This window comes from Homo sapiens, chromosome 22 (genome assembly GCF_000001405.40).
Source record: "Homo sapiens chromosome 22, GRCh38.p14 Primary Assembly".
NCBI lineage: Eukaryota > Metazoa > Chordata > Mammalia > Primates > Hominidae > Homo > Homo sapiens.
Window position 1 is genome coordinate 24,800,065 of NC_000022.11, and position 18,297 is coordinate 24,818,361.

The 18,297-nt window shown below is 50.4% G+C and overlaps 1 protein-coding gene across 4 annotated transcripts in view, besides 1 other annotated feature; it reads left to right on the plus strand.

Annotated features, from left to right (window-relative positions):
• Positions 5,985-6,194: a silencer, noted in NCBI's record as "silent region_13556". NCBI's record gives its function as "represses an Ori minimal core promoter by ATAC-STARR-seq in GM12878 lymphoblastoid cells {active_cell/tissue: GM12878}" and the evidence as "EXISTENCE:reporter gene assay evidence [ECO:0000049][PMID:35858748]".
• SGSM1 (small G protein signaling modulator 1) overlaps positions 6,147-18,297 on the plus strand; it is a 121,368-nt gene continuing 109,217 nt past the window's right edge. For all 4 annotated transcript variants that reach the window (NM_001039948.4, NM_133454.4, NM_001098497.3 and 1 more), the window contains exons 1-2: positions 6,147-6,280; positions 6,377-6,420. In NM_001039948.4, the coding sequence (NP_001035037.1) occupies positions 6,262-6,280; positions 6,377-6,420 (63 nt within the window). In that variant the 5' untranslated portion in view covers positions 6,147-6,261. The remainder of the gene's footprint in view (positions 6,281-6,376; positions 6,421-18,297) is intronic.

Here is an 18,297-nt window from a genome sequence, read left to right on the forward strand (position 1 = left end):
CAAGAAATTCCGAATCGTTGGGGGTGCTCTGGCCCCACTTCTCTTGGCTCTGCCCACCTCCCTGTATTGGCTGTGCCCTCAGGCTATCAGGCAATGGCAGCACATAAAGTGCTAGTGCCCAGATGTGGAGCTTTCAAGAGTGGAGAAATCATTCCCAGAAGGCACCTAGCTGACTTCTCCTGTGTCTCATTGGCCAGAACTGTGTCACTTGCTCACATCTAAACCGACCACTGACAAAGGAAACAGGAGCATCATGATTTTTATTTATTTACTTATTTTTAATTTTTTTATTTCAATAGTTTTTGGGGGAACAGGTGGTGTTTGGTTACATGAATAAGTTCTTTAGTGGTGATTTCTGAGATTTAGGTGCACTCACCACCCGAGCAGTGTACACTGTACCCAATGTGTAGTCTTTTATCCCTCCCCACTCCATGCTTCCCCCAGAGTCCCCAAAGTCCATTGTATCTTTTTGTGTGTGTGTGTGCGTGTGAGACAGAGTTTTGCTCTTGTTGCCCAGGCTGGAGTGTAATGGCGGGATCTCGGCTCACTGCAACCTCTGCCTTGCAGATTCAAGCAATTCTCCTGCCTCAGCCTCCCGAGTAGCTGGGATTACAGGCATGCACCACCACGCCCAGCTGATTTTGTATTTTTAGTAGAGACGAGGTTTCTCCATGTTGGTCAGGCTGGTCTCAAACTGCCAACCTCAGGTGATCCACCCACCTCGGCCTCTCAAACTGCTGGGATTACAGACATGAGCCATCGCACCGGCCCATTGCATCGTTTTTATACTTTTGTGTCCTTATAGCTTAGCTCCCACTTACAAGTGAGAACACAGAATGTTTAGTTTCCCGACTGGGTGCGGTGGCTTACGCCTGTAATCCCAGCACTTTAGGAGGCCGAGGCGGGCGGATCATGAGGTCAAGAGATCGAGACCATCCTGGCCAAAATGGTGAAACCCTGTCTCTACTAAAATTACAAAAATTAACTGGGTGTGGTGGTGCGCACCTGCAGTCACAGCTACTAGGGAGGCTGAGGCAGGGGAATCACTTGAACCCGGGAGGTGGAGGTTGCAGTGAGCCAAGATTGTGCCACTGCACTCCAGCCTGGTGACAGAGTGAGACTCCATCTCAAAAAAAAAAAAAAAAAAAGAAAAGAAAAGAAAAAGAAAAGAAAAAAAGACTGGGTGTGGTGGCTCACGTCTGTAATCCCAGCATTTTGGGAGGCCAAGGCAGGTGGATCACCTGAGGTCAGAAATTCCAGACCAGCCTGGCCAACATGGTGAAACCCCGTCTCTACTAAAAATCCAAAAAATATATAGGTACTCCGGAGGCTGAGACAGGAGAATCACTTGAACCCGGGAGGCGGAGGTTGCGGTGAGCTGAGATTGCGCCACTGCACTCCAGTCTGGGTGACAGAGTGCGACTCCATCTCAAAAAAAAAAAAAAAATGTTTACTTTCCCATTCCTGAGTTACTTCTCTTAGAATAATGGTCTCCAACTCCATCCAGGTTGCTGCAATGCCATTATTTCATTCCTTTTTATGGCTGAGTAGTATTCTGTGGTATATATATTATATTTTCTTTATCCACTCATTGATTGATGGACATTTGGGCTGGTTCCATATTTTTGCAACTGCGAATTGCAGGAGCACCATGATTGACTTAGTCCAGTCAGGACCTACCTAGATGGGAAGAAGAACAGGGTCTTCCAAGGCAGTGGCCAATGTGTAGAGTTGGATACCTGGGCAAATTCAGTTTCATTAAAAAGAGGGGGAGGCAAACGAATATTGAGGTGACAACTGTATTAGTCAGTGTTCTCCAGAGAAACAGAACCAACAAGATGTACATATATACACACATATAAATATATGCACACTTATATATGTATGCATCTATACATATATAAGGAGATTTATTACAAGAACTTGGCTTATACAATTATGCAAGCTGAGAAGTCCCAGGATTTGCAGTCAGCAAACTGGAGGCCCAGGAGGGCTGATAGTGCAGTTTTAGTCTGAGTCCGAAGGCCCGAGGCCCAGGAAGAGCAGAGGTTTCAATTTGAGTCAGAAGGTGGGAAAAGATGTCGCAGCTCAAACAGTCAGGCAGGAGGAGTTTCCTCTTGTTCTGCCTTTTTTTGTTCCATTCAGATCTTCAATTGATTGAATGAGGCTTACCTACATCAGAGACAGCAATCTGCTTTACTCAGTCGATGGATTCAAACATTAATCTTATCTACAAACACCCTCACAGTCACGCCCAGAATAACCTTTGAGCAAATGTTTGAGCACCCCTGGTCCAAGCAAGTTGACAGATAAAATTCACCATCGCAGCAACAAGGAGTATCTGCTGCATAGGGCATGCAACACAACATTAATCAAGATTTCTCTGTATAGTAAGAGGCTCAAGAGTGCCTCGGCCTGAATCTAGCCTCTCTTACTTTCCAGCTGCATGTCTTGGTTAAGCTGTTTTTTTTTTCTCTCTTTTTTTTTTTTTGAGACGGAGTCTAGTTCTTTTGCCCAGACTGGAGTGCAGTGGTGCAAGCTTGGCTCACTGCAACCTCTGCCTCCCGGGTTCACACAATTCTCCTGCCTCAGCCTCTCGAGTAGCTGGGATTACAGGCACACACCACCAGGCCCGGCTAATTTTTTTTTGTATTTTTAGTAGAGACAGGGTTTCACTATGTTGGCCAGACTGGTCTCGAACTCCTGACCTCATGATCCGCCTGCCTCGGCCTCCCAAAGTGCTGGGATTACAGGTGTGAACCACCACGCCTGTGTTGGCCAGGCTGGTCTCGAACTCCTGACCTCAGGCGATCCACCCGCCTCGGCCTCCCAAAGTGCTGGGATTACAGGTGTGAGCCACCGCGTCCGGCCTAGCCTGGACTTTCTTAGCATTTTTCATTTACGCTGATCACAGAGCTGACCTTTCCCAGCTGAGGGCGCTGAAGAAACATTGCTGGAGAAAGAGGCTTCTCTTAACTGGTTCCAGCTGCTGCACCACTGGTCAGCGCTAAGGGTGTGAGGTGTCATAGGCCAGGTAATGGGATTCTCAGACACTGGGGGAGGCTTTGGGACCCAGGTAAATTTTCCTATTCTGGCCACAGGGAGAGTGCAACTCTTCCCAAGCTGATCTTAGGTGATGGTGCCCCTAGTGGTGAGTGTTCCAACTGCAGCAGGGTGCAATCCCTGGTCCCATGGAATTCAGGGTTCCAATGTCACCTGCTCAGTGGGGCCTCCCTCAACCACTCTGTTTCATAATAAAATCCCCATCTGTCTGGGCCCTCCCTGTCTCCCCTGCCTACTTTGTTTTCCTCCAGAACTTTCCAACATACTCTATTATTTGCTTATTTTATTGTCTGCTTCCTAAGCTCCACGAGGGCAGAGCTTTTTGCCTGTCTCGTTCACTTAGAAGTATCTAGCACAGTCACCTGGCACACAGTAGGTGTTCATAAATATCTGTTGACCTGAGTTGCATGCAGGTCAACCATGCCCTCCTGCCAGTTGCAACTGCACCAAACACCATGGAGTCCTTTATCTTGGAGGAAAAGCTCCAGGTTTTCAAGGACCAGCACAGGTCAACTTCCCAGACTTTGTGCTTGGCAGGAAAAGGAAAAATGTGGGTTTTGAAAAATGATTCCCTAGAGTGAGGCTTAGGCACCCTACCACCTTCCTAAAGTACCCCAGTTAACTTAGGGGTGAAGCCAAGGAGAGGAACTAATGGATCAATCACTTTGGTCCTCAGGTCAGAATCCTGGCGGCCACACACTTGTTAAACAAACAGGGATGAAACCCCCTCCAGGCTTGGCTTTGTCAATGACATAAGGCTCATAGGGTTAGCGTGGGGTGGAAGGAGGGTCAATAAGATCATGTGAGCAAAACCCAAAGCCCTTAGCGCAGTGCCTGCCACATAGTAGGTGCGCAATATATGATTATTTTTGCTGCCAAGCAACCATTTCCCATTCTCCTGGGGGACTTGCTGGAGATTGTGGAGCAGGGGTTTGTGATTGAGACACCTCTCCCCAAGCCAATGGGCAGGCTTGTGTCCCAGGTCAGGACAATCAGGCACTCCCTCCATAGGATGAAAACCTTAAACGAATGGCATTCTCTTTACCAGAGCAGCAGTGCCCTAACCACACTGTCCTTGCCAGGCAAATATTCCCAAGATTCCCCTTTCTGGCCTTCCAGAGCCACCTTGATTTCATCCCATTTCCCAGTTCTCCAGGCTCCCATGGGCTCTGGGATCACATATTATCTTCCCAGTTTATTTCCTTTTGCCTGAGGAAGCCAAAGTCAGCTTCTGTGGCTTACGGCCAGAGACCCCTGACACTGACCAATGGAAAAAAGGGGGCTCTGGATCCACTGCTGCACGGAGAGGCACTCTAAGCTGCCCTCTAGTCCTTCTGAAGGAAGGCCTGAATACTGGGGGACCCTAAAAGGCATTGCAAATCCTTAACATCACCATCAAAGTCATACAGGGTTTTGGCCCTGCACCTCTCTGGCCAACATCCCACCACCGTCCCCATTGTTCACACCACTCCAGCCCCACAGGCATCTGTGCTATTTGTCACTGTTTGACTGGACACACTCCCTCCTCAGGGACTTTGCATTTGCTGTTCCCTTGACTCAACTGCTCTTCCTCCAGAAATCCCCATGGCCTACTCCTTTTCCTCTTTGCTTAAATGTCACCTGCTCAGTGGGGCCTCCCTCAACCACCCTACTTCAGAATACGATCCCCAGGGGTCTGGGCCCTCCCTGTCCCCCTTGCCTACTTAATTTTTCTCCAGAACTTTCCAGCATGGTCTGTCCTTTTCTTACATATTTTGTTGTCCGCCTCCTAAACTCCATGAGGGCAGAGTTCATTGTCTGTCTTGCTCACTTAGAAATCTCTAGCACAGTCACTTGGCACAGAGTAGGTGCTCAATAAATATTGACCTGAGTTGCATTCTGGGTGGATACAGTTAGGGACTTGGGGTGACCAGGGGCTCTTGATGGAACAAGGCTTTTCCCACAGAGCCCACTGCTTGCTCAGCCCCAGAGATCCTGGCTGACAAGTGCCTCCTTTTGGGGCCAGACTCCTGGGAAAACCCCACTCCTCCAGTGACCTGCATGTCGGGGAGGGAGCCACTTAAGTCCCGGCCTCTCCTGAATGGATAACCAGTGTATCTTGGAAGACTCTTTTTTTTTTTTTTTTTTTTGAGATGGAGTTTCACTTTTGTTGCCCAGGCTGGAGTGTGGTGGCACAATCTTGGCTCACTGACACCTCTGCCTCCAGGGTTCAAGCAATTCTCATGCCTCAGCCTCCTGAGTAGCTGGGATTACAGGAGCACGCCACCATGCCTGGCTAATTTTTGTATTTGTATTTTTTTTATTTTTTGAGACGGAGTCTCACTCTGTCGCTCAGGCTGGAGTGCAATGGCGCCATGTTGGATCACTGTAACCTCTGCTTCCCGGGTTCAAGAGATTCTCCTGCCTTAGCCTCCCCAGTAGCTGGGATTACAGGCAGCTCGCCATCATGTCCGGCTAATTTTTGTATTTTCGTAGAGACGGGGTTTCACTATGTTGGCCAGGCTGGTCTCGAACTCCTGACCTCAAGTGATCTGCCCGCCTCGGCCTCCCAAAGTGTTGGGATTACAGGCGTGAGCCACCGCGACCGGCTGGAAGACCCTCAATAATAATAATTAATAATAATAACAGTAACAGTGGCAAGCATTTATGCTCGCTGGCCTTTCCCCCTGGGTCTGTATTAAGGGCTTCACATCCAATATCTCACTTAAGGCTCAGATCGTTCTGAGACCCATTATGCCCATTTTATACCACATTATACCCATTTTAAAGATGAGAAAACTGAGGCTTGGAGAATATCGGTAGTAGCCCCACCATTTCCTGTGACTTCCTGGAGCCTGGCCCACAGAGGAGGGTTCAGGACGGACGCTTTCCTTCCCCGCCCTAGGGAAGAGGGAGGGACGCGGGCGCTGGCGTGGAGGTTGGGGGAGCCTGAGAGGCTCGGGCGCTGGGTGCGCGGGAGGGAGCGTGCGTGCTTGGCGCGAAGGCTCCTGGCGCAGGCGACCCGGCTGCCCCGCCGAGCGGTGGCTTTCCGGAGGGGTGGGGCGGCCGCCTCGGGTCCTGACGTCGGGCGCCCTCCGGCCGTCACTCAGCGCTCGGCCCCGCCCCGCCGCGGCTGCAGCAGCAGCGCCGCGGCCGGAGGAGCTACCGCCGCCACCGCCGCCACCGCCTCCTGGGACTCGGAACGCAGCGCTCGGAGCCATGGCCTCGGCCCCCGCGGGTAAGAGGCCGCTGGACACGAGGGCGGCGGGAGGGCAGCGCCCGGCCCCCGCACCCTCTCTCGGCTGACCCGCGGCTCTCGTTTCTTGTCCCACAGAGGCGGAGACCCGACAGAGGCTGCTACGCACCGTCAAGAAGGAGGTGGGTGCCGGGGTGGGGGCACTGGGCAGGACTCCCCCGGCAGCAGCGGCCAAACGGGAAAAGAGTCTTCGTGGAAGGGTGGCCTCTGGCGGCGGGGGGGCGGCCAGAACAGGTGTGGGGCTCACCTGGGTGGGCATTGACCTCCCGCAGGGCAGGAGGCGCAGCGAGGGAGTTTGGGGGTGGGCGTAGGTGTGGGGAGGCTTTGGCCCATTTGAGGCTTTTTGCGGGGGCGGATGTAGCGTGAGGGCCCTCCAGGTGTGGGGCACACCTGGATGTATCCCGATAGGACCTCCTCTTGTGGAGGAGCAGGTGGGCGCGGCTCAGGAAGGGGACCTTCCAAGAGAGAGAAGCTGCTAGGGGGACGCCCCCCACAGGGTGTGCTGGAGGAGGGGCTCTGAATGGGGCTGCCGAAGGTGGGGCACGCTTCAGGAAAAGGCAGAAGGAAAATAAAACCTCCCTTCCCAGCCCCCGAATTCTCAGTCCTTGGAGCCACCTCCAAGAGCCAGGGGACTCCCTCCCTGAGAGTCACGGGTCAGTGAGCTGCTCCCCTGGCAGTAGGGGTCCCTTCACTCCCCCCGCCCCACTCCCACCCCACATTCAGAGGGTGAGAATCAGAGAGGTTCTGCCATTCCTCTGCCCCTCCACTCTCCTTGGGGTCAGCGCGTGGAGAGGGGGGCAGTCTAGTCTTTAGGGCTCATGGCCAATGACCTCCCAGAACCCCATAGACAGAATTTATAGTCCTTGGGGTAGCATCTCGATGCCTGGACTGCGTGCTCTGGTGTGTATACCTGCATGGGTGAGGACCTGTGGCTGTGAGTGTGTGCGTATGAGAATGTCTGTGCATCTGTCTGGAGATACCTAAGTGTATCTCTTTGCACTGTGTGTACACGTATCTATGTGTGTCTTTGTATCTGTTTTTGTGAGGGTGGGTCTGTGTGTGTATATTGTGTGGTGCATGAGTCTGTGAATGAGTGATGCTGTGAGTGTGTGTGTGTATCTTGAGTAGGTGTGTGGCATGTGATGCATGAGTCTGCATGAATAACTAGGGCTGTGACTCCGTCTGTGTGCGTGTGTCTTGTGTGTTGCCCTCCCCATTCTTCAGTCTCAGACCCCATTGCTGCTGTGTCTTCATCACTTTTGAACCTTATCAGCGCTTAGCCCAAGGCCTTGCATGGCAGCAGACATCGTGGGCTGGCCTGGTTTCTGGGCCTGGCTTTCAGTGTGTGTGTGTGTACATGCGTGCATGTGTGTGTATGTGTTGGGGGTGTTGGCTGAGGTGGCAGCATCAAGCATCACTGATGACCCCTCCTTCCCTGCACAGTGGCAGACAGCCACCAAGGGCAGCCTCGAGGCTTGGACCTGTTGCTGCTCCTCCGTCCTCCGGGAGCATGAGTATGTGCCTGCGTGTGTGTGTGTGTGTGTGTGTGTCTCTGTGTGTGGCATGTCCTATTTTGTTTAAAGAATGAGCTCCAGGGCTGCTTGCACATTCTAGCATTTTCGAATGAGACATGCAAAATACATTGGATCCCTCAGAAAGGCCCAGAAGTTTTCAGCTCAGCCCTTGTATAGACTCCTGTGGGTATTCCAAGGGAGATCCATCTAGAACCTCTTATCTTTTTTTTTTCTTGGTGTTTTTTTTTTTTTTTTGAGACGGAGTCTCGCTCTGTTGCCCAGGATAGAGTACAGTGGCACAGTCTCCACTCACTAAAAACTCCACCTCCTGGGTTCACGCCATTCTCCTGCCTCAGCCTCCCAAGTAGCTGAGACTACAGGAGCCACCATGTCCGGCTAATTTTTTATTTTTTTATTTTTAGTAGAGACGGGGTTTCACCACGTTAGCCAGGATGGTCTCGATCTCCTGACCTCGTGATCGCCTGCCTCGGCCTCCCAAAGTGCTGGAATTACAGGCGTGAGCCACTGCTCCCAGCCTAGAACCTCTTTTCAATAGAACTCACAGACCAACAACATCCTTGTCACTTTCAGTGGAGGGGCATGTACCTTACAAAGCACCTGCTGTCTTTTTGTTCGTGGTTTAACCAGACCTACGTGTAATATGTGTCCCTGAGATGTTTTTGCCTGGGGTAGCTTTGTTTTTAAGGCAATGGTTGGTTGAATGGGGAGGGGGCTGCAGGCAGAAGAGAACACCAGTAAGACATCTGGGGAAGGCTCTGGCTGAGGCCCAGGTCCCAGCTCAGCTACCATCTTCCTCAGTTTCCTGCGCAGGTTCCTTCTTCTCTCTAGGAGTCAGTTTCTCCATCTGCAGAAGGATGCATTAGTATCAGTGTCCTCTAAGGTCTGACCCGTGTCAGTCTAGTTTGGGTCTTGGGCTCAAAGAGGGGGAATAACTTGCCCAAGAGCACACAGCCAAGATGGGACAGAGTTGGGACTTACCCCCCAGGTCTTTTTGATGTCAGAGCCACACTCTGACCCTCCCATCCCACAAACATGCTCATCCAAATCTACACGGTGCCACACCTTGGACAGAATGTGTGGGCAGTACAGTTTCTACTGTACAGATGAGAACACTGTGGCCCAGAGACAATAAGTGACATTTCAAGGGCACAGAACCAGTGTGAGGGAACAGGTTCCGTTCTTCTGTCTTTTGAGTTCCTATTCAACATAGGTACCCTAAGAACATGGCAACAACTCGGTGCCCCCCAAAGCACGTCTCCCCTGTCCTTTCCTTCCTTTGCTTACCTCTTTGGGGAGCATCTCTCTCAGTGTCAGAGAGCCAGTCTCTAGTGGAACAGAAGGGAAAGCTCTTTGCCTAGAAATCTGAGAGTCAAATCAGATCTCCCTCCTCCCCACTCTCTGGGTTCAAAGGAGCCACATCTCTGCCTGTCACAGCCTCACCCAGAGACTGCATTGTATGTACACATATCTACATGTGTCTGTGTGTATATCTGTCTTCTGTGTGTACATCTGTTTCCCCAGCCTTCTTTCTAGAAGGAGTGCCTTAACAATCGACATCTCTAGATAGGCTGGGCAGCTCTGCAAGGTTTGCCAGAGCCACTGCAGCCACGAAGGGGCCAACAGAGGCTGGGAGCTGGAAACTGTCCAGTGCTGGCCTGGGGAGCCAGCTGGACACAGCACCCATGAGGCAGGTCAAGAAGAACTTTGGGCTCAACTAGAGCTGGATTCCAACCCCAGATGTGTTTATTTACTGAGGGCTGTGTGTCAGACCCTGGGCTAGGTTCTGTGGATATAGCAGGGACAGGCCCCTTGTAGATGGGCCCTGTCCCTGTCCTCCTGGGGCTGACCTTGCAGCGGAGGAAACACACTCCCAACAGTTACCTTATCAAAATTACAAGGATAATTACAGGCTGTGAACAGAGATGTGAAGGAGAGGCACCCGGGGCTGCAAGAACCCAAAACAGGGACAACTGACCATGTGCAGGGGCCCAGGATATGACGTTTCAGAAGACAGGTGCAAGATGAGTAGGACTTTAAGGTGAAGATAAGAGGGTTGAGAGACACTAAGAAAAACCATTCCTGGCAGAAGGTTTTGTACATGCAGAAGCTTTGTGGCTGGAGGGAACACTGTGAATTTGAAGGAACCGAAGTGACCGGAGCAGAGACAAAGGAGAAAGGTGCAGATGCGGAGAAGGCGGAACATGTGGTCTTATCCCAAAAGCAAGGGAAAGGAATGGGGAGGACATCGAGAACAGGGAAAGAAGGTGATGGAGCTGAAATTGCTGGCCTGTTCACTGCACAATCTTAGACAAGATCTGTCTTTACCTTTATCAGTGTGTGGGTTTCCGTTTATTCATAATGGGGATGAAAATGATTCAGCTGGCAAGATAAACCCTGCGAGAACACCCACCACGTTAGCCTGAGCTCCTCCAGGGCAAGCATCCTTTTTTTTTTTCCCTCTGTCCTCGGTACCACCAAGAGAAAGCTGGAAACAAGGTGGCCTCAGCGTGATTTCCTCCAGTTAAATCTGACCAGCTCTATCTTGGCTCCTTCCTGGCTTCCTTTACCCTCCCTGCCAACCCTTAATTTTGTTTTGGTTCCCAGAGCGAGCAGGGACTGGCTTCCCGTTGCCATAACAACTGCCATTAAAGGAGCCAGCCATGTGATGCCAGTTGATAATGGAAGCAAAGTGACTAACTGCCTTGTTTTCCTGCCTCTGGGCTGGGCCTAGAAAGCCTCTTAATTGGAGGGGAGAATGCAGGGGCTGGTGGGAGGCAGATGAGACCCCAGGAAGGAGACAGGGAGATGAGGCAGGTCCTGGAGTGGAAGCTACATTTAGCTCTGCGACCGGAGCTGGTGGAAGGGCTGTAATTGGGGAGCCATCATCATAGCTGCTGAACAGAGCCTGTTTGGAGAACTGAGCCTCCCAGCCTCTGGGTTAGGGGTGATGAGATGGGAGAGGCAGGCAGGACTTGCTAAGAAGGTTGGAGAAAAACGAGAGAAGCAATTGACGTTACCATGGGGACCCTGCAGTTTTACTGTGACCCAGTGGTTCTTAATGAAGGGGAGCAGTTTTGTCTCCCGTCCCTAGGTTTGGTTGCCAGATAACATCCAGGTCGCCCAGTTAAATTTGACTTTCAGATAAACAGTGAGTAAGTTTTTAGTATGAGTATGTGTTGCTAAATCTGGCAACCCTACTCCAGGGGACATTTGGCAATGTCTGGAAACATTTTTGGTTGTCACAGTTGGGGGTGCTATCAGCATCTAGTGGGAAGAGGCCAGGGATGCTGCTCACATTCCTGCAATACACAAGACACCCCCTCAGCCCACCACCACTAGGAGCACAAAGAAGTGGCCAGCCCAGAATAACTCTTGTTAAGGCAGGAAAATCTGCTCCCCGCTCACCCTACCCATCCTGCACCTGCTGCGCCCTTCACTTCTCTAGGCTAATTTGATACGAATGTACTGTTCTTGAACAACTCATTCTTACTGCTTTTAGATTGTCTTGAATGCATATTTGGAGTCTAAAGCCGGGGTGGGGGTGGGCAGGGGCAGGGAACGAAGTCTTGGCTCCCTAGCCATGTCATTTAGGGGAAACTTCCCCAGAATGCCTCAGTTTCTCACCTGTAAAATGGACTTAGGCCATAGAAGAGAGATTGGACTATGTAATAACATTAGCAATTCCTGGCCGGGCACTGTGGCTCATGCCTGTAATCCCAGCCCTTTGGGAGGCCAAGGTGGGATGATCACTTCAGGCTTGGAGTTTGGGACCAGCCTGGGCAACATAGCAAGACCCCCATCTCTACAGAAAACAAAATAAAAATAGCCAGGCATTGTGGTGCATGCCTGTAGTCACAGCTATTTGAGAGGCTGAGGCAGGAGGATCCCTTGAGCCCAGGAAGTTGAGGCTGCAGTGAGCTGTGATCGCATCACTGCACTTCAGCCAAGGCAACAGAGCGAGACCCTGTCTCAAAAAAAAAAAAAAAAATTATGACCAGGCATGGTGGCTCATGCCTGTAACAGCACTTTGGGAGGCCAAGCTGAGTGGATCACTTGAGGTCAGGAGTTGAAGACCAGCCTGGCCCAACATGGTGAAACCTCATCTCTACAAAAAATACAAAAATTAGCCGGGTGTGGTAGCATGCGCCTGTAATCTCAGCTACTCGGGATGCTGAGGCAGGAGAATCGCTTGAACCCGGGAGGTGGAGGTGGCAGGGAACTGAGATGGCGTCACTGCACTTCAGCCTGGGTGACAAAGCAAGACTCCGTCTCAAAAAAAGAAAAAAAAAAAGAAAAGAAAAATTAGGCATTCCTAATTTCCTACGTGTTTGCTGGGGGCTTCTGGCTTCCTCTGTGCTGGGCATTGTGCCATGAACTTTCTGAGCATTATCCCCTTCACTCCTCATAAAAGCCCTAAGGGAGAGAACCATCATCTCTTTCCATGATAGATGAGGAACTGGAGGCAGAGAGATGTTATGCAGCTCGCTTTAAGGTCCCACTGTCAGTCCGTGGAGAAGTCAGGATTCAAACCTCATGTTGCCAAGATCTAGGGGGATGGCCTCATGACCTTGGCTTACAGTGGGCAGTGGTGGGCAGCTATGAGCTTCAGAAAAGTCCCTGGAAACACAGCTTGGCTTCAGGCATGTGCAGGGGAAGGAAATGGGGCAGGAAAGGTCCATTAGTCCCAGCTTGTGCAGGGCTGTATGTGCCAGGCTGTGCCATTTGAACTTCCCATAGTGGATAATGGGGAGCTATAGAAGATTTATGAGCAAGGGAGGGTTTTGCTTAGGGCTGTACTTCAGGAAGTTTCAGCTAATAGCAGGGACCAGGATAGACAGTTTCTGCCAACTCTTAGAAGAAAACTTTCTCCCTCCCTCTGTTATTTTCTTTCTCCCCCACTTCCGTTCTTCCTTCCTTCCTCCCACAAATATTTATCAAGCATCTACTATGTGCCAGGCCCTGTTCTACAAGCTGCAAACTGAGAAGTGAGTAAAGCAATGTCTTTGCTCATATGCCCTCATTCAGTGTACAGTATAGTGGCAGGAGGGCATATAGAGAAAACAAGAAATATGTATTAAAGGTAACAAGAGCTCCAAGGAAAATAACGGCTGGAAGAGATGGGAAAGGCTTGCCAGAGGAGGTGGTCAGGGATGGCCTCACTGATGGGATGGTGTTTGAGCAGAGACCTGAAGGAAGGAAGGGAGCAGTGTCAACATCTACAGGAAGTGTGTGCCTGGCAGAGGGAATAGCGTATGCAGAGGCTGTGAGTTGGGAACAGACCAGCTGGGAGGCCAGTGAGGCTGGAGTGAAGTAAACAAGAGTAGAGATGAGGTTTGAGAGAGTGGGAGGCTGATTGTTCAAGACCTTGTCCATCGAAGGCATCGAAGGCTTTGGCTTTGACTCTGGTGAGATAGGAGCCATGGGAGTATTCTGAGCAGGGGAGGAACAGGCAAGTTTTGGGGACAAGTTGAGAGGAAGCAAAGACACCAGATCATCAGATAAGACAGGAAACGTCTGCCTTTGCTAAGCTTTTCCATTCTTGGGCTGGAATCACAGCCCCCCACCCACTACTCGCCCCACTGTGCCAAGGAGAGACTCCAAAAATGCATGTGCTTGAATGAATGCAGGAATGCCAGGTGGGCTATTTTGGGGCTCTCCGATGCTGGCAGGATTGACTCAAATCAGCTTGCGTGTGTCGTGTTTGCTGGCTTAAGAGGGCAGAAACGCTCCTCATGAATAATGCAGCCATATCCACCCGATGCGTTTTGATGCTTTTTCAGGTCTCTGGCAACCTGGCTTCTGGGAGCTTTTGCTAGTGATGAGCATCTGTGGCAGCTTAGGCACCCTGGTTCGATGTGGTGAGGATGGCAGGAGGGCCCCTGGCTTGCCTGGCTGTGTCTCTTGTACCATATGGCTGGGTCTCCCCCAGCCACCTCATGAGGTGCTCCAGGAGCTGGTGGTAGCATTTGTTGCTGGCTGGCCGGTAGGAAAGGGCATTTTGGTCACCCCTAAGGGCCCGCAGTTGCTGTCTGCAGAGCCCAGGATGGGAGGTGAGGAGACCTGTGTCCTTGTTCCAGTTCTGACCCCAACAATGCTTGTGGCTCCTAACAGGTCCCTTCTCAAGGTCTCACTTTCCTGCTTTCTAAGTGGACGAGGTTGGACAGCTCCAGGATTCCAAGAACCTCAACTCATCTAATTTGGCCAGTGTCACTCTCTGAGAGCCAAGTCTTTGTTTTTTCCACTCTGAATTTGCCAAGTATTTATTCAAGACTAATTAAAACTAAGTAGCTGGTAAGACTTTTGGAGTGCCTTCAGTTCACTCAAGGAAAACCAGGGCTTAACTAATGTCATTCTAATGGGATAAAGATTAAAAAAACAAAACAAAACAAAACAAAACAAAAACTAGCATATACTGGCATTTTATATTGATGACCTCATTTAATTATTGATCCCCCATGAAGTAGATAAAATCCCCTCTTTTATGGATAAGGAAATCGAGGCACAGAGATGGCAAGGAGTTCGCCCTAAGGTCTCAGAGATTGTTGTTGGTACAGCAAGGGGTCTGGCTGCACAATCCTCCTCTGTATCACTCTTGAGCTAAAGCCAGCAATCCACACAGGGTTCCAAGCTCCACCGAGAGTGTGGGGTCAGGGAGAAGGCCACAACAGCAAGGGCCTCAATTACCACTATGCTATCACTGTCAGGCAGTTGGCAGTATTTATGGAGGGGTCAGGCACACCGCGTGGCTCACCCTTTTGGGAGTAAGATGGACTCAGTCCCAAAAGGACACTTTGCCGCCCTTTCTGGTCACATCTGAACTTAAAAGATGCCCTCAGCACAGGATCTTGCTGTCTCTAGGTAAGCCCTGACCTGGAGGTGCTACAGCCCCCAGGGCAGTGCTGTGGAATTTAGTCAGAAGAGATATTTCTTGAGGTCCAAAGGGACAAGCCCTCTAATGGGCTGAGTCTTGGCTGGCTGCATCGCCATCATGGGGAGGGCAGCTGGGTCTTCCCTCTGAGGCTGGCTGCCCATCAGCTCCTGGAGACAGTCCCTCAGCCTAAGGAGCTCAGAGTCCCTGGTGACTTTCCTGGCCCTGCACTTGGTTGCTGTGCACCCCTGGACAAGGGGGCTAAGAATGCTAAACTCAGATGTGGGGCAGTGTATTTTTCTTTCACTTAGTGATATAGAAGATGAGATGAATAGATTTCTATGTTTTTTCTTTGCACAATTTTGCAGGAACTCAGATTGTGGGTATTTGCAAAGAACAGTAACAGTTCCTTTTGCAGTAAGGCCTCATTGAGAAAATGGATAGCTGAGGTCCTGAGAGTTCAAGAGACTTGGTGATGTTACCAAAATGCTGGGGTGTTGGTGTGGGTCCTGCTGCTGGCCACACAGAAGGCCAATCACTGAGATAAGTATTGCCCGGGAAGAAGTCTTTAGTTGAGTCCCGCAGCCGAAGAGATGGGAGATCAGGCTCACATCTATCTTCCTGACCAACTAAACTCAGAGGTTTATATAGCAGGAAGAAAATTTAAGTGCATGGAAGAAAACTGGAATTAGAGGGGCTGGGTGCAGTGGCTCACGCCTGTGATTCCAGCACTTTGGGAGGCCGAGGCAGGCGGATCACGAGTTCAGGAGATCAGGACCATCCTGGATAACATGGTGAAACCCTGTCTCTACTAAAAAAATACAAAAAAATTAGCCGGGCGTGGTGGCGGGCGCCTGTAGTCCCAGCTACTCAGGAGGCTGAGGTAGGAGAATGGCGTGAACCTGGGAAGCAGAGCTTGGCAGTGAGACGAGATGGCGCCACTGGAGGGCGAAAGAGTGAGACTGTGTCTCAAAAAACAAACAAACTGGAATTAGAGAGGGGTAAGGAAAAGGAGTTGGTCAGCAGGAAGCAGGTGGTGGGTTATGCAGTCATGCTGGGTAAGGGGTGTTGCATCTCTGTCCAGATGCAATGATCTGGTAAGTTTCAGTTCCTTGGGGGAGGCCTGATGTTTGGTTTCCTGAGAAAGGAACTCAGATAAGACAAATGTAACTTTCTGGAGTTTTAAAACTGGGAGGGTCAGTTTCTATGTATATTCAAAAGAAACCATAAACATTAGTTCTATGGGATAGTTGGGCCAGTTTCAGTGATACTTGGGGCATTGAATGAATTCCTTTTTAATTATTATTATTTGGTAAATTATGCTTACTTGGTAAATTAGAATTGTAGCAACTACCATTTACCAAATATTGCTGTAAGTGCTTTGCTGTCTCATTTAATCCACAAAACAACCTTCCTACACAGTAGGTACGAGTAGCAACTGCTTTTTACTGACAAGGAAATTCATGCTCAGAGAGGCTAAGAAACTGAACCAGGACTACAGAGCTGAGAAACAGCAGAGCAGGGTTTGTTAGCCAGCTCCATCCTCCATCCTTTTCAAGTCGGATAAACCCTGATAAAACTAGGTAGAATGATAATAAACATAAACAAAATGAGAAAGTGAAGCTAAAAAATTGATTTCTTTTTTTTCTTTCTTTTTTTTTTTTTTTTGAGATGGTGTCTCGCTCTGTTGCCTAGGCTGGAGTGCAGTGGCACGATCTCAGCTCACTGCAACCTCTGCCTCCTGGGTTCAAGCGATTCTTCTGCCTCAGCCTCCTGAGTAGCTGGGAATACAGGCATGCACCATCATGCCTGGCTAATTTTTGTATTGACAGGGTTTCACCATATTGGCCAGGCTGGTCTCGAACTCCTGACCTTGTGATCCGCCTGCCTTGGCCTCCCAAAGCGCTGGGAAAAATTGATTTCTTGGTTTAAGTGTTTGGGAAGTTCAGGTGCACCTATATCCAGGGGCGCCAATGATGTCATCAGGACACTGTCTCTTGCCATCTCTCTGCATTGCCTTCTTCTGTTTTGGCATTATGCTCAGCCTCTCTGTGGGGAGGTAGAGTGTTGCCCAGCAGCTCTAGGGGCACATTCTGCCAGCTTGGCATTTCTGCAGAAAAGAAAACCTTCTCTTCCTAAGGGTTCTAGCCAAAGTCTTGGGATTTGGTCTCACTGGACCACTGTGGGTCACTTGCTTCTTTTGTGCCAGTCACAGTGGGATGGATTGCTCCACTTGGTCATGGGGGGGTGAGGGGTGGAGTTAGCCCTGTGAGAGTAAGGAAACGGACACCAGAGGAGAGTTACGGTGAAATCACCAGACAGGGAGATGGAAGGCAGGCAGACAAACCACAGATGTCCACATCAAAGGGCTGAGGGCGCCTGCATTTGGAGCTCAGCCTGTGATGCGGGAGGTATACACTCCTGTGCTCTGTGCCTTCCTACAGTCCCGAGTGCTGCCTGGGGATGTACTATGTGCCAGGTGATTATACTGGATCAAGGATTTCTATTCTACGGGTGTGCAAATCCCTGAAGTTGTAGAAACATCTTGTACTTGCTGTATGGAGAGAGTATCCTCAGATCCTCAGCTTTTTTTTTCTTTTTTTTTTGAGATGGAGTCTCACTCTGTCGCCAGGCTGGAGTGCAGTGGCGCCATCTCGGCTCCCTGCAACCTCCGCCTCCTGGGTTCAAGCGATTCTCCTGCCTCAGCCTCCTAAGTAGCTGGGATTACAGGTGCCTGCAACCACGCCTGGCTAATTTTTGTATTTTTAGTAGAGACTGGGTTTCACCATGTTGGTCAGGCTTGTCTCGAACTACTGACCTCGCGATCTTCCCACCTCAGCCTCCCCAAGTGCTGGGATTACAGGCGTGAGCCACCGCTCCCGGCCATGAGTATCCTCAGCTTTCGTCAGGACCTCTAAGCAATCCACAACCCAAATACCCAAGTACGGTTTAGCATCACCCTGTGTCTTGTTTGGGGCTGGTGTAACAAAGTACCGTGACTGGGTAGCTTCAAAACAACAGGAATTCTCTAGTGACTAGAAGTCTGAGATCAGGGCGGCAGCATGGTTGGTATCTGGTGAGGGCCTTCTTCCTTTTTGCACACTGCAGACTTTTAATCATGTCCTCACATGGCAGAAAGGGGGTGAGAGGTCTTTGGGGTCTCTTTTATAAGAGCACAAATCCCGACGGGGTGCAGTGGCTCACGCCTATAATCCCAGCACTTTGGGAGGCCGAGGCGGGTGGATCACCTGAGGTCAGGAGTTCGATACCAGCCTGGCCAACATGATGAAACCCTGTCTCTACTGAAAATACAAAAATTAGCCGGGCGTGGTGGTGGGCGCCTGTAATCCCAGCTACTCAGGAGGCTGAGGCAGGAGAATCGCTTCAACCCAGGAGGCAGAGGTAGCAGTGAGTTGAGACCATGCCACTGCACTCCAGCCTGGGCAACAGAGCAAGACTCTGTCTCAAAAAAAAAAAAAATAAAATAAAATAAAACAAACAAAAAACAGTACTAATCCCATCCAAGAGTCATCCTCATGGCTTAAATTACCTCCCAGAAGCTCTTCCTCCTAATACCACCACTTTGGGATTAGGAT